At 37.3% G+C, this 14672-nt stretch overlaps 1 protein-coding gene and 1 pseudogene across 6 annotated transcripts in view; one reads left to right on the top strand and one right to left on the bottom strand.

The window, feature by feature from the left end:
* LOC645405 (oxidation resistance 1 pseudogene) lies at window positions 2334-2817 on the top strand (annotated as a pseudogene).
* The window catches only part of CEP152 (centrosomal protein 152), an 81987-nt gene continuing 73386 nt past the window's right edge, over window positions 6072-14672 (bottom strand). For 4 of the 6 annotated variants that reach the window (XM_047432254.1, XM_047432253.1, XM_047432252.1 and 1 more), the window contains 2 exons: window positions 6401-6529; window positions 6072-6175 (listed from right to left, as the gene is read on the bottom strand). In XM_047432254.1, the coding sequence (XP_047288210.1) occupies window positions 6417-6529 (113 nt within the window). In that variant the 3' untranslated portion in view covers window positions 6072-6175; window positions 6401-6416. Of the gene's footprint in view, window positions 6176-6400; window positions 6530-6570; window positions 14211-14672 lie in introns of those variants that run through there. The other 2 variants (XR_931769.4, XM_011521375.4) reach the window with 2 other exon arrangements.

Consider the following 14672-nt stretch of genomic DNA (forward strand, 5'->3'; position numbering starts at 1 on the left):
AATCAAACGGCTTTAGTTTTAGGAGCTAGATTTAAGACGGTAGACCTAAAGTAACAATTGACATGTCCTTGTTTATAGGAGGCCAGCAAAGAGTTTACTTATGAATGATGTGTGAGGCCAGTCCTTCCCAGATGCCTGAGGCCTTTTATGTTTCTGTGAATAACATTAATAACAGCTATTCATTTGGAAGACAGTGTTGCAAGATGGTTGCTGCAAATCCAGGTGTTACAACCAGACACAGTAACATCTAAAAAATGGCTCTAACCACTGATCTAGAAGTTGCACATTTGTCATTTAAAGTCAGCTCTTTCCAGTGTGGAAGAAAATACTTTTTAGAAAGAAACATTTTCTACAAGCCCTGCAGCCTCTCCCTTATATGGCATTGTCCAGAACTGAGTCATATGCCCATCCCTAAACAAGTCACGGTAACAGGAATTGAGGCCACTGGGATTACTCAGGCCAAACAGGAGTCAGCAACAGAGTTGAAACTGAGTCATGAGGGGAAGTGACAGCTATGCCCCCCTTGGTCTGCCAACAAGGAAGAAGTAGGTAATAACGTTGGGTAGATAACCAATAGTGTCCACTATATGTTCCCATTTTCCAGATGTGGAATCTAGGCTCACCAGTAGGTGACAGAATAAAGATATGCAACATATTTGATGTCAAAGTTTGATCCTAGTCACTACCTCTTCTAACCTGAGAAGTCTGCTTTGTACTAACTAGATCTGAACTATTCAGTACAGGTCTGATCCAATTTTAACAGGATATTTTTCAGAACAGTGCAGCAACTCCGAAATGTTTTTAGTATAAAGTCCTCTTATTAATGATAGCAACGGCATCTACATATGTTTGAAAACGATGCCATATTGATGCTGGAGATATATTGTCGTTTTCATTTGTAGATAATGCATGGCCAGCAAATGAGTTCATATTCACCTTGCAGTAACTCTATGGCTTCCTTGGACTCCTGTTCAGCCACATGAGACTCTTTGCATAAGTTCCTTCCCTTCTTTCTCATCTATAGAATGAGGATAATAAGACCTAGTTTGAAAAATTGTTGGAAGGATTAAGACAAAAGTGTAGGTATAGGGCTTAATATGATAACTGATCCATTGTCATGTTTAATGAATAATCTTGAAGACCTTTCAGAGTAGATTGCGACACTGGACTACATTTTTAAAAACTTTTCCAGGAAAACTAATTGGTAGCCAATGAAATCATTGACAGCTACAGGGTCACTGTGATAATACATGTATTGAGTTCACCCTGTGCTCTTACACAGATAGGATATTTCAACTTTTATTGAATAGGGTGAAATAGGGTGTTTCAATTTTTATTAACCGTTCCTAGGGAAACAGTTTGTGTAAGAGCACAGGGTCAAGAAAATATAAGAAGCAGAATTTCATCCAGTACATTCTATATACAACATGATTGATAAAATTATGAAATGAAATGAGGAAATATTTCAGACAAGGGCTATGCCTGAACCAAAACCAAAAATAAGTTTTAAAAGTTTTGTTGATTCTACTTAATTTACTCATCAGACAACATTTTTAAGAGCACAAGATTTAACATGTTCTCAAAGTTTCCAAATTATTGCTGACCTTTGTGGAAGAAGCCAATTCATTTATCTTACTTTCGAAAATAACAAAGTTTCTATTTAATGATGTTTTACTATTTTGATTTCTAATTAATTTCCTGGTCTGGTCCTTAAGGGGAAAAGTTGTTACAATTATATCAAGAGATTTAAAAATCGCATATTTACTACTAGAAAATTTCTAAATATCTTTTTTCTTTTAAGATGAACCATTACTCGTTGAATTTTAAAATTACAAAAGGTGGTTCTATAATATTACAGGCTTTCCTGTTGTGTTGGTAAATTTCTAGCTGCAGCATAATCTTCATATAATGTCATATTCTATAAATCCCTGCTAAAGAGCAAGATCTATTGCTCGTCTACATCCTGCTGAGAAAGCAAGTTAAACTGATTTCACATGTGGAGGAGCCTGCTGAACTCATTTTCCTGCTTGGAAGCATGGAGGGGAAGTGGAAGGAGCGGAAAAAGAAAAGGACTTTCCCCTTTAAAATAAATTCCAGCTCACCTGTAAGCCAAACCAAATAAAGACAGTATAGGGATTAAAGCCATGGCCTCTAGCGTCACAAGAAAAAAAAAATACATCTATATTTAAATGTAATGTTGGTTCCTTAGTTGTGAAAAAGTTACCATAGTGATGTAAGACATTAACAACAGAGGAGTCTGGGTGAGAGGTATAGAGACTCTGTATATCTTTGCAACTTTTTGGTAAACCTAAACCTATTCTCAAATGAAAAGTTTACTGCCAGATCAAATTGAAAAGCTTACCAAGCATCTTCCACCAAGAACAATTGGCTATCCACGGACTCTTGTTTATGGTACTGGAAAACATGGCACAAGCTTGCTTGAAAACTCTTTATCGAACAATGACAGGTTTAGACACCCCAGTGCTGATGGTAATTAAAGACAGTGATGGACAGGTTTTTGGTGCGTTAGCAGCTGAGCCATTTAAAGTGAGTGATGGCTTTTATGGTACTGGAGAGACCTTTGTTTTTACATTCTGTCCAGAGTTTGAGGTCTTTAAGTGGACAGGAGATAACATGTTTTTTATCAAAGGAGACATGGATTCACTAGCTTTCGGTGGTGGAGGAGGAGAATTTGCCCTTTGGCTTGATGGAGATCTCTACCATGCAAGAAGCCATTCTTGTAAAACGTTTGGGAATCGTACACTTTCTAAGAAGGAAGATTTCTTTATCCAAGATATTGAAATCTGGGCTTTTGAATAAATACAATGCTCTCTGTCTTAGCAGGAGAATGGCCCAAACCTGACATGGACAAGCATTGTTTGGAAAGTTCAAGAAGCAATACAGTGTAACATGTCACTTGTGCTTTAAAATTGGTCTGTCTCACCATTTATTACAGGTATAATTTTGGAGTTTATTTTTCAAATAATGTTCTTGTCCCAGAGTTCTTTAGGTTAACACTATGGACTGCGTCCATGTACTAGTATAACAGCTTGGGTTTGTTAGAATTTGGGCAACATTTTGATTATAATGACAACTTCATTTTCACATGTTACTCAGTTCCCTAATAGGATGGTGCTCTTTTGTTGAACCTGTATTTTTTTTTTTTAACTATATTGATTCGTTTACTAGAACCATCTAATTGGGGCATTGAGGAAATGAAGACTAGATACTTCTGTATCTGTGAAGTTGGCACAGGTAACATTTGGACATGTTCATCTTATTCTTAGGAAGGAAAAAATCACTTGCCAAAATAATACATACTTCATAGACAAAAAAAAAAAAAAAAAAGACTTGGGTATAACTTTTGGCTTTGCCTGCTGCAAGCTTGTGTTAACCATGAACAAATTACTTATCTTCTCTAAGCCTTGATTTTAGCCAACCATAAAGTGCTTATACAGAGCCTCACTCAAAAAGCTGTTGTGAGGATTAAAGGAGTTAGTGAAGTGCTTGGCACAATGCTCATCATCAAGTTAGCATCTGTAAATTAGTTGTTCTCATGACTGTGCCCACCAAAGGACTGTGCACTTCAGTACTCAAGGGAGAGCATGGTCCCTTCAATCCACCCTGTCTTGATTCTCCAGTACTGTTGATAGCAGAGTCATCTTCACAAACACCCAGGCTCTAAATCCCTTCTCAGTAGGTCCTGGAAGCATGGGTGTGTCATATTCTCAATCTTGTCACCTCTTCATTTCCACCACATCTACCCTGGCTCTGGCCTTGTTCCTTGCCTGACTGTCCTTGGACATTGTCCTCCTGGTTCCTTGGCTGTTTGCTCTGTTCCTCCAAGTCCTCCTATTATATGGCTTCCCTAATCTCTCTAAATCATGCTACCAAAACTTCAACAACTCTCCCTTTTCTATGAACCAAATTTCGAATTCTTTGGCTTTGACATCCAAGACCATCCATGATCATGATCTAGCCTCAATTTACCTATCTCACTATTCTTCATGTACTCTTTTTTTTTTATTATTTATTTTTTTTTTTTTTTAGAGGGAGTTTCGCTTTTTTATCCAGGCTGGAGTGCAATGGCACAATCTCGGCTCACTGCAACCTCTGCCCCCCAGGTTCAAGCAATTCTCCTGCCTCAGCCTCCCGAGTAGCTGGGATTATAGGCGCCCACCACCACACCTGTCTAATTTTTGTATTTTTAGTAGAAACGGGGTTTCACCATGTTGACTAGGCTGGTCTTGAACTCCTGACCTCAGGTGATGGGCCCGCCTCAGTCTCCCAAAGTGCTGGGATTACAGGCGTGAGCCACCGCGCCCGGCCTTCACATACTTTTAAATCTGGTTTACCTGAATCTTTAGGTAATCATATGCCTAAACCTTAATAATAGCAAACACTGAGGCCCAGACAGGCTACAGAAACAGCTAAGACACAGAGCTAATGACAAAGCAGACTTTAGGTCCTTGATGGCATTCTAAGTTTACACTTTGGAAGGACCCAACATCTACCAACATATAACAATGATGGAAAAAGTATATAGAGAAAAAAGACTTTTAAAACACAAAATGTCCCTGAGGACTTGAAAAGTAAGGTACTACCTGTTCTGTATCTAAATGTAGTAAAGGTAGGCCTGGTACGGTGGCTCATGCCTGTAATCCTAGCACTTTGGGAGGCTGAGGTGGGTGGATCACTTGAGGTCAGGAGTTCGAGACCAGCCTGGCCAATATGGTGAAACCCCATCTCTACTAAAAATACAAAAATTAGCCAGGAGTGGTGGTGCGTGTCTGTAGTCCCAGCCACTCAGGAGGCTGAGGCAGGAGAATCGCTTGAACCTGGAGGTGGAGATTGCAGTGAGCCAAGACTGCGTCACTGCACTCCAGCCTGGGCGACACAGTGAGACTCGGCTTAAAAAAAAAAAAAACCAAAAGTAGTAAAGGTGGCCAGGAGTTTCTGCAGAATAATAAGGACTAAAAGCATCCAACTGAGGAAAGGAACAAAGGACAAGCTTGCTGTCTAAAGCAGTAGTCCAGGTAGGGGTTCCTTACCTCAGGGAGGCTGAAAAAGCTACACTCTCCACCTGAGGCCACAAGTTATATTAAAACTATGTATCTAGAGAGCCTAGAGGTTAAAGGCAGAGCTTTGCAGCCAGGAACTGGGCCAAGCTGCCTGCTGGCTCAGTGACTAGCTTTAGAATAGCCCCACTAGATCAGAAATCACCTATGTAAGACCCAGTCTTGGACTGGGTACTATATGGAGCCCATATGGAGGCAACCAAAAGAACTAGACAGTGGTGGGAGAGAACTCAGAAGGAGAAAAAAAATCTTCTTCACTGTTAGACTGCAAGTTAGACTGCAAGCCAAAATTCCACACGCGTGGGGGAAACTAATTCTGTGTAAGGCAAAAACAAACAAACAAAAAGCAACAATTTGGATATGAACTCACTCCCAAGTGACATGATAAATTACTCTAGAAGTAACTTTAAGAATTTCTTAGTCTTTAAAAATATAAATACATAGAATCTATTAGAAAACAAGATTACTAAACAGGTAGAAATTTTACAAAAAGTCTAGGTGTAAAAACACCAACTAGAAATCCCGGAAGTGAAATTTCAAAACTCAATAAATTAAACAAACAAAGACAGAATTAGCAAACTGGAAGATAGTACTTCCAGTGAAAAAAGACCTCCACAAAGTAGCACAGAAAAATAAAAGTATACAAAAGAACAATGAAGAGAAACGAGGATGGGGCTATGTCTAAGAGAAGTTCCAGAAGCAGGAAACAGAAGGAATGGTGGAGTTAGAGTGGCTTCCTTCTAATCTTTACCCAAATGTTACCATCTCAGCGTGACCAACCCTCACTATTCTATTTAAATTTGTAACCACTCCCTCTTTACTCCTCTTTTTACCCTTACCTGCCCTTATTTTCTCCATAGCACTTACCAACTTCTAACATACTACATAAGTTATGTGTATTTACTGTCTCCCCTGACTAGAGTGTGAACCATGAAGGTAGAAACTCATGTTTTGATAAGCATTGTATCACCCTAGAACATTAACAATCAGTTGTTGACACCTCATAAATATTTGTTTAATGAATAGCTATTGGCTGAGCATTTTTCATAATCGAAGAAAAGTGGTAAGTCCTCAGCTTGAAGGTGAACAGCAAAGATCTAAAAAAAAGTTATAACACATTATTGTCACAATTAGGGCAATTTGAATATAGAATGTATGTATGTTGGCTGGGCACAGTGGCTCACGCCTGTAATCTCAACACTTTCGAAGGCTAAGGTGGGAGGATTGCTTGAGCCCAGGAGTTTGAGACCAGCCCAGGCAACATAGCGAGACACTGTGTCTACAAAAATATTTAAAAATTAGCCAAGTGCAGTGCTGTGTACCTGTAGTCCCAGCTATTCAAGAGGCTGAGCGGGGAGGATCATTTGAACCCAACAGTTGAAGTCTCGGTTCAGTTGCAGTGATTTGAGCAACTGCTCTCCAGCCTGGGTGACAGAGCAAGATCCCATCTCCTAAATAAAAAAAATTTTTTAAGTGTATATGTATATAAATATTTATCAATATTCAATGTCCTAAATATGACAATTGTATTTAAGAAATAAAATGTTTTTGTTCTTAGAAAATGTATGCTGAAGTATTTAGGAAGGAATACTCAGGGTGTCTGCAAATAATCTTCATGGTTAAGGAAAAATGTTTTTATATACATGTACATACTATGTACATGCATACATATGTATATTTACAGACAAATATAAAACAAATGTAGAAAGTAAACAATTGGTAAATCTAAATGCAGGGTATATAGGTGTTTATTTTCTACAGATTATGAAGATTTTCAATATAAAAAGTTGGGGAAAATAAAGAAAAAATTAATAAATACACAGAAAAGAGATTACTCCAGTACGTAACAAATAAATAAAAATAAGGAAATTTCTGGTGATACTGGAGTGAAGAAGCTCCCCACCGGCCCCCCCCAAAAAAAATTACTACAAAACTGAAAAAAGAAGAAAAACAACCATTTCAGGGCTCCAAAAATCAACCAAAGGGAAACAACCAAAATTGAGAAGCTGCTGAACTTTGGAAGATCAGTGAGACTCTGAGGCGTTCTTACCAGGGGCTGCTCCCATTCCGCTCCCCAGCTTGATCAGTGAGGTAGTGCTAACAGTGTAGGAATGACAGTGAACATTAGCAGCCTCTCTGCTACAGTGGGCTCACTTGATTTGGAGTAGAAGGAAAGGAGCCCATGCCCAGTAGTAGGGTTAGTTAAAAACAGTAAAGTTAGAGGGACAAAAACAGGGAAGATGCATAGCTCCGCTAGTCTGAGATTGCAGTCCCATTTGGGGCAAGAGATGGGCAGACTAATTTTTAAATTAACAGGAAGAAAGTCTAGAAATGAGGGGCTAAATAAGCTCTCCGCATATCTCTGCTGGAGTGGGAGGCTGTGTGCATATGTAGGGAAAACCTAAGAAAGCCCATGCTCACCACATATCCCTGAACTAATGAGGATGTGCACATGAGCAGGAAGACCTGGAAGCGCTCAGAGGGAAGCAAAGTGGAGGAAGACTGGAAAATTGCCTGAACATTGAATGCACAGACACATCAGCATAGGATGAAGACCTACTGACTCAAGGTTTTTCAATACAGCCTTCAACCAATAATTGAATAATCATTAAGCAATACAGATGCATAGAAATCCCCTAAAATGACCAGCTAAAAACTAGAAATGCAAATTAAAACAACAGTGGAGAAATCAGCAGGCACACACCATAGAGGATTTTGCAGATAAAGTCTAAGCAAATAATGAAACAACACAACAATAATAATAAACCAGCAATAACAACCCCCAGGGGAACAAATACCAAATCCAGAGTTGCCACAATATGTTACGTAAAATTTCCAGTTTTCAACAAATTTATAGCGTATGTAAAGAAACAGAAAGTCTGATTTATATCAAAGAAAAAAGCTGTCAAGAAAAACTATGCATGTGCTTGGATGTTGAATAAAGACTAAAAGTCACAAAAGGACAAATACTGCATGATTTCACTTACATGAGATTTCTAAAATAGTCAAACTCACAGAAACAGAATAGAAGGGGGCTGTCAGGGGAAATGGGGAGTTACTGTTCAACAGGTATAATGTTTTAGTTACTCAAGATGAAAACGTTCTAGAGATCTGATGTAAAACACTGTATGTATAGTTAACAACACTGTATTGTGCACTTAAAAATTTGTTGAGTATATCTTACCTTCCTGTGTTCTTACCAGACAAAAAATATTTACCAGAAAAATATATGGAAAAGAAAAAAATAAGATGAAAATATGATGACAATGACTCAACAGGGAATATTGTATTATAGTTGCTATTTTAAAATAGTCACGTTTTTCCTGACGAAAACGAGCAATGGGGAAAGGATCTCCTATTCAGTAAATGGTGCTGGGAGAACTGGCTAGCCATATGCAGAAAACTGAAACTGGACCCCTTCCTTACACCTTATACAAAAATTAACTCAAGATGGATTAAAGACTTAAATGTAAAACCCAAAACCATAAAAACCCTAGAAGAAAACCTAGGCAATACCATTTAGGACATAGGCATAGGAAAAGACTTTATGACAAAAACGCCAAAAGCAATTGCAACAAAAACCAGAATTGACAAATGGGATCTAATTAAGCTAAAGAGCTTCTGCACAGCAAAATAAACTATCATCAGAGTGAACAGGCAACCTACAGAATGGGAGAAAACTTTTGCAATCTACCCATCTGACAAAGGTCTAATATCCAGATTTACAAGGAACTTAAACAACCCCAACAAGAAACAAACAACCCCAACAAAAAGTGGGCAAAGGACATGAACAGACACTTCTAAAAAGGAGACATTTATGTGACCAACAAACATATGAAAAAAGCTCAACATCACTGGTCATTAGAGAAATGCAAATCAAAACCACAATGAGATACCATCTCACGCCAATCATCTCACGTGATTATTAAAAAGTCAGGAAACAATAGTTGCTGGCGAGGTTGAGGAGAAATAGGAATGCTTTTCCACTGTTGGTGGGAATGTAAATTAGTTCAACCATTGTGGAAGACAGTATGGCGATTCCTCAAGGATCTGGAAACAGAAATACCATCTGACCAGGCAATCCCATTACTGGGTATATAGTCAAAGGATTATGAATCAATCTGCTATAAATACACATGCACACGTATGTTTCCTGCAGCACTATTTACAATAGCAAAGACATGGAACCAACTCAAATGCCCATTAATGATAGACTAGATAAAGAAAATGTGGTACATACACACCATGGAATACTATGCAGCCATAAAAAAGAATGAGATCATGTCCTTTGCAAGGGATGTGGATGAAGCTAGAAGCCATCATCCTCAGCAAACTATCACAGGAACAGGAAACAAAACACTGCATGTTCTCACTCATAAGTGAGTGAGAACATTGGGAGCTGAACATTGGGAACACATGGACACAGAGAGGGGAACAACACACACCAGGGCCTGTTGGGGGTTTGGGGTGAGGGGAGGGAACTTAAGAGGATGGGTCAATAGGTGCAGCAAACCACCATGGCACACATATACCTAGGTAACAAATCTGCATGTTCTGCACATGTATTTTTTTTTTTTAGAGTAAAGGAAAAAAAAAGAATACATGATCAATGATGAATCTCTGGTTAAAAAAAAAGTCATGCTTTTAATTCTTTAAACATTTTACCTTAATTTTTAAAACACATTTGTAATAGCTGCTTTGTAGCTATTTTTAAACAAGTAACTATTAAAGAGCCAAATGTGGCCAGGTCTGGTGGCTCATGCTTAAAATTTCAGCACTTTGGGAGGCCAGGAGTTCGAGATCAGCCTGGGCAACATGGTGAGATCCCTTACTTATAATTAAAAAAAAAAAATTAGCCAGGCATGGTGGCATACACCTGTAGTCCCAGCTACTTGGGAGGCTGAGCGGGGAGGATCACTTGAGCCCAGGAGTTCAAGGCTGCCATGACTGCACCACTGTACTCCAGCCTGGGAGACAGAGTGATATACTGTCTTAAAATATATACATACATATATATAAAATGATGTTTTTGTATCCATTAACCAACCACTCTAGTATAGTAGGGTAACTATAGTTAACAATAATTTGTTGTAAAGTTCAAAATTGCTGGAGGAATTGGCAGGTTCCCAATATAAAGAAGGGGTGACTGTTTGGGGTGATGGATGTCCCAGTTGCCCTGGTCGATCATTACACATTGCATGCATGTATCAAAATATGTCTATCCCCAAAATATGTACAACTATTATGCATCAATTTAAAAAGAGCCAAATGAAAATTCTAGAGTCAGAAAGTTCAATAGCTGAAATGAAAATTCCTAGATAGGCTAAACAGCAGAATTGAGATGGCAGAAGGATCAGGAAACTTGCACATAGATTAATAAAATTATCCAATATGAAAAACAATAATGATTAAAGAAGAATGCACAGTGCCTCAAAGACCTGTGACACAATGGTAAGCATATTAATGTATATGAAAGCCCCAGAAAGAGGAAACGAGGACAGAAAAAAATAATTGAAGAAATAGTGGCCAAAAAACTGCCTAAATTGTATTAAAAGGATAAATCTAGAAATCCTAGAAGCTCAACAGACTCTAAGTAGGATAAACACAAATTCAGACCTAGACACACCATGCTCAGACTGTTGAAAGCCAAAGAGAAAATCTTAAAAACAGTATAAGAAAAACAATTCATCATATATAAAGAACAACAGGATTAACAGTTGACTTTTCATCATGAATAGTGGTGACCATAAGGCAGTGGAATGACATATTCAAAATGCTGGAGGAAAAAAGTCAACCGAGAACTCTAAATATATCACATACTGTCCTTCATATATAAATTTGAAATATATTCCAAAATCCACAAAGACTGAGAGAATTTGTTGCTGGCATACTTGCCTTACTTGGAATACTAAAGGAAGTAGAATATAGATGAAAGGAAATGACAACAGACCTGGCAACTAGAATCCATGGGAACAAAGAAAGAGCAGCAGAAATGATTACTACGTCAGTAAATATAAAGAACTATAAATATACATTTCTTCTATTAAATTCTTTAGAAGACATATTGCTTTATTGTATAAAGCAATAATTATAACACTGTAATATATACATATATACATATACATATATATATATATACACACATACATATATAAGACATAATAGCACAAAGGAGGGGCAAGGAAATGAAGCTAAACTGGGGCAAAGTTGCTATATTGTACCAGAAGTTAGTCAATATTCATGTGAAGTAGGCCGTAGTAAGTTAAGATACCTATGATAAGTAGAGACACCACTTAGAAAAATAGCTAAAAAAAAAAAGGTTAAAAAAACTAAAATGGTACCCTCATAAATATCTGTTTAATGCAGAAGAAGGCAATAAAAGAGCAATTCAATAACGAAAGATACACAGTAACCAAATAGCAAAATGGAAAATGCAAACCTAACAAAATTGTAGTAAATTTTAATGCACCTAAAAACTCCAATCAAAGCTTCTCTGATAAAAAAAAAAAAAGCAACATCCAGCACTATACTGTCTTCCAGAGACTCACTTCAAATTAAAAGATACAAATAGGTTAAAAGGAAAAAAACAGAAAGACATGCCATGCAAACAGTAATCATAAGAGAGCTGCAGTGGCTGTAGTAATTATAGACACAATGGACTTTTAAAACAAGAAATATAGTAGATACAAAGAGGGATATTTTAAAATAATAAAGGGCCAATTCATCTGAAAGGCATAACAGATATAAAGGTATATATACCTAACAACAAAGCTTCAAAATACATGAAGCAAGAACTGACAGAATTGAAAGAAAAAAGTTTAACAATTACAGCCAGAGATTACAATATCTCACTCTTAATAACCAGTTGAACAAATAGGAATAAAATCAGCAAGGCTATAGCAGACTTGAACAATGCTATCAACCAACTTGAACTGACATTTTTGAATACTCCATCCAAAAAGAGCAGAATATACATTCTTTTCAGGTGCATGTGAAACATTCCAGGATAGGCCATATGCCAGGCCATAAAACAAGTCTCAAGAAATTTAAAAGGATGGAAATCATTCAAAGTATATTATCTGAAAACAAGTAAATTAAAAATAAATAAGAAAGAAACTTTGAAAATCTGCAATTCTTAGAAATGAAGTAACATACTTCTAAATAATCTGTGGGTCAAAAGAAAAATCGCAAGGGAAGTTTGAAAATATTTTGAACTAAATGAAAACAACAATACAACATATCAAAACATATGAGGTGCAACTTAAACAGTGCTTAGAGAGAAATTCAGAGCTTTATACATCTATATCAATAGAGAACAGTTTCATATCAATAATCTAAACTTTCACTTTAAGAATCGATGAAGGGCCAGGCGTGGTGGCTCATGCCTGTAATCCCAGCACTTTGGGAGGCGGAGGTGGGCGGATCACTTGAGGTCAGGAGTTCAAGAACAGCCTTGCCAATATGGTGAAACGATGTCTCTACTAAAAATACAAAAATTAGCTGGGCATGGCGGCACACGCCTGTAGTCCCAGCTACTCGGGAGGCTGAGGCAGGAGAATTGCTTGAACCCGGGAGACGGAGGTTGCAATGAGCCAAGATCGCGCCACTTCACTCCAGCCTGGCGACAGAGCAAGTCTCCATCTCAAAAATAAATAAATTTTAAAAAAAAGAACAAAGAACAGTTAATTAGACATAAAGCAAACAGAAGGAAGAGGGAAAAATCAATGAAATTGGCAATAGAAAAACAAGAGAAAAGAGAAGAACCCAAAAGTTCTTTGGGGGAAAACAAATCAACTAATCTGATAAACCTTTAGATAGACTAAGAAAAAAATGAGATGACACAGAATACCAAAATCAGGAATGAAAGGGGGACATCATTATCAAGCCTACTGAAATGAAAGGATTATGAGAATACTATGGCTAACTGTGTCAACAAATTAGACAATTTAGATAAAATAGCCAAATTCCTCAAAAACCAAAAACTACCAAAACTGACTAAAGAAAAAATGGAAATTATGAATAGCTCTATAACAAGAAAATACATTACTTAAAATCCACACTTCTGCACCACCCCCACCACCAGCCCAGGCTAGATGCCTTCACCTAGTAAACTCCATCCAATATATAAAGAAGAAGTAATACCAATGCTACACCAATTCTTTCAGAAAACACAGGCAAGGAAACACTTTCCAACTCACCCTATGGGACTGGTATTACCCTTTTACCAAAGCAAGACAGAGAGCATGGGAAAACAAGAGACCAATATCTCTCAAGAACATACACATGAAAATCTTTAACAAAGTATAAAATAAAATAAAAATCCAGCAACATTAAAAAAAGGGCTAAATATCATGACAAAGTGAGATTTATGTGATCATGATATCTACAGGGCTCCTGCCTCCCTTTTGTTCTGCCATGACCTTTCAAACCAATGTACACCACTAGTCATAGTTTGGCTGTGTAGTCCCTTCATTTGCACACTAATAAGTGGATACCTTCATATTTATCATAATAGAATTAGGTTACCTTGTCATACACCCTATACCACACCCTATCTCCAACCAATTGGATATAGGATGTATGACATAAAGTAACTTAATCCTATTGAGATTATGAGTATCAAAAAAGATTAAGGATACTCTAAAAGGAGCAGAAAGCAAGAGAACTTCCAATTTCAACCTTAATGTTGAGAGTTTAAATAACTGACATGGATTTTGAACCAAGTGGAAAAGGTAGGTGAGCAACGAGCCTAGATTCTAAGTTTACTAAAAACAAGGGCTTAAAACGATCAAGCACCAACCAGATCCATAGGGAGCATAAACTTGGCTGTTTTAGAGTTTTTTTCTAGAGTGAGAGATGACAGCCTAACTGTTGGAGAAGGAGCATTGTATCTTCAGGAATACAAGTGAGACTTTGACAAGATGGTTTGTTCCTTACTATAGCTGTATGTGAATTCAAGCACTGAAGTCCAGGACCAATTTTTAGACTTATTTATCCCTGGTCAAGAGTTAAGGTGACAGAGCTTTCCAAGCCCAAAAAGTTTTCCTTCTCGGTTCTTGCTTTTAGAGATGGTTATCAGGAGGAGGAGGATGCATCTTGCCGTCTCCCCATCACCACCTAAGTTATCTGGCTCTGGGTGGAAAAATACACTAGATTAACCCCCAAATACAATCCATAATATAGTAGGTGTGGGAGATGTGAGAGAAAGCTATAGTTAACTGTTTTCGGAAGCACTTGCATACAGCTAAATGTTCATACCCATCGCTAGGGATCTGAAAAAGAATTCACCTAAAAACAATGATATTTAGGTAGTCATTCATTTCTGCATGTATTCTTCAGTTTAGAATTATAACCTTTAACCTAGAGCATTAATTAGCCAGTTCTGCACTATAAATGAATGTAAAAATCTAATCGTTTTACATTTTTTGCTACATGACAAAACTTATCTCAATTTTTCAAAAGGTCGTATTTCAGATGAAAAAACAAATGTGAAGCCATAAAAGAGACAAAGTTTTTGGATGTCACAGATGATCTGAAATAATGCAAGTAAGAACTAAAAAAATTCAGACTAATATTTAAATAATAAAACCAGGA

Source organism: Homo sapiens, chromosome 15 (genome assembly GCF_000001405.40).
Source record: "Homo sapiens chromosome 15, GRCh38.p14 Primary Assembly".
Lineage (NCBI taxonomy): Eukaryota > Metazoa > Chordata > Mammalia > Primates > Hominidae > Homo > Homo sapiens.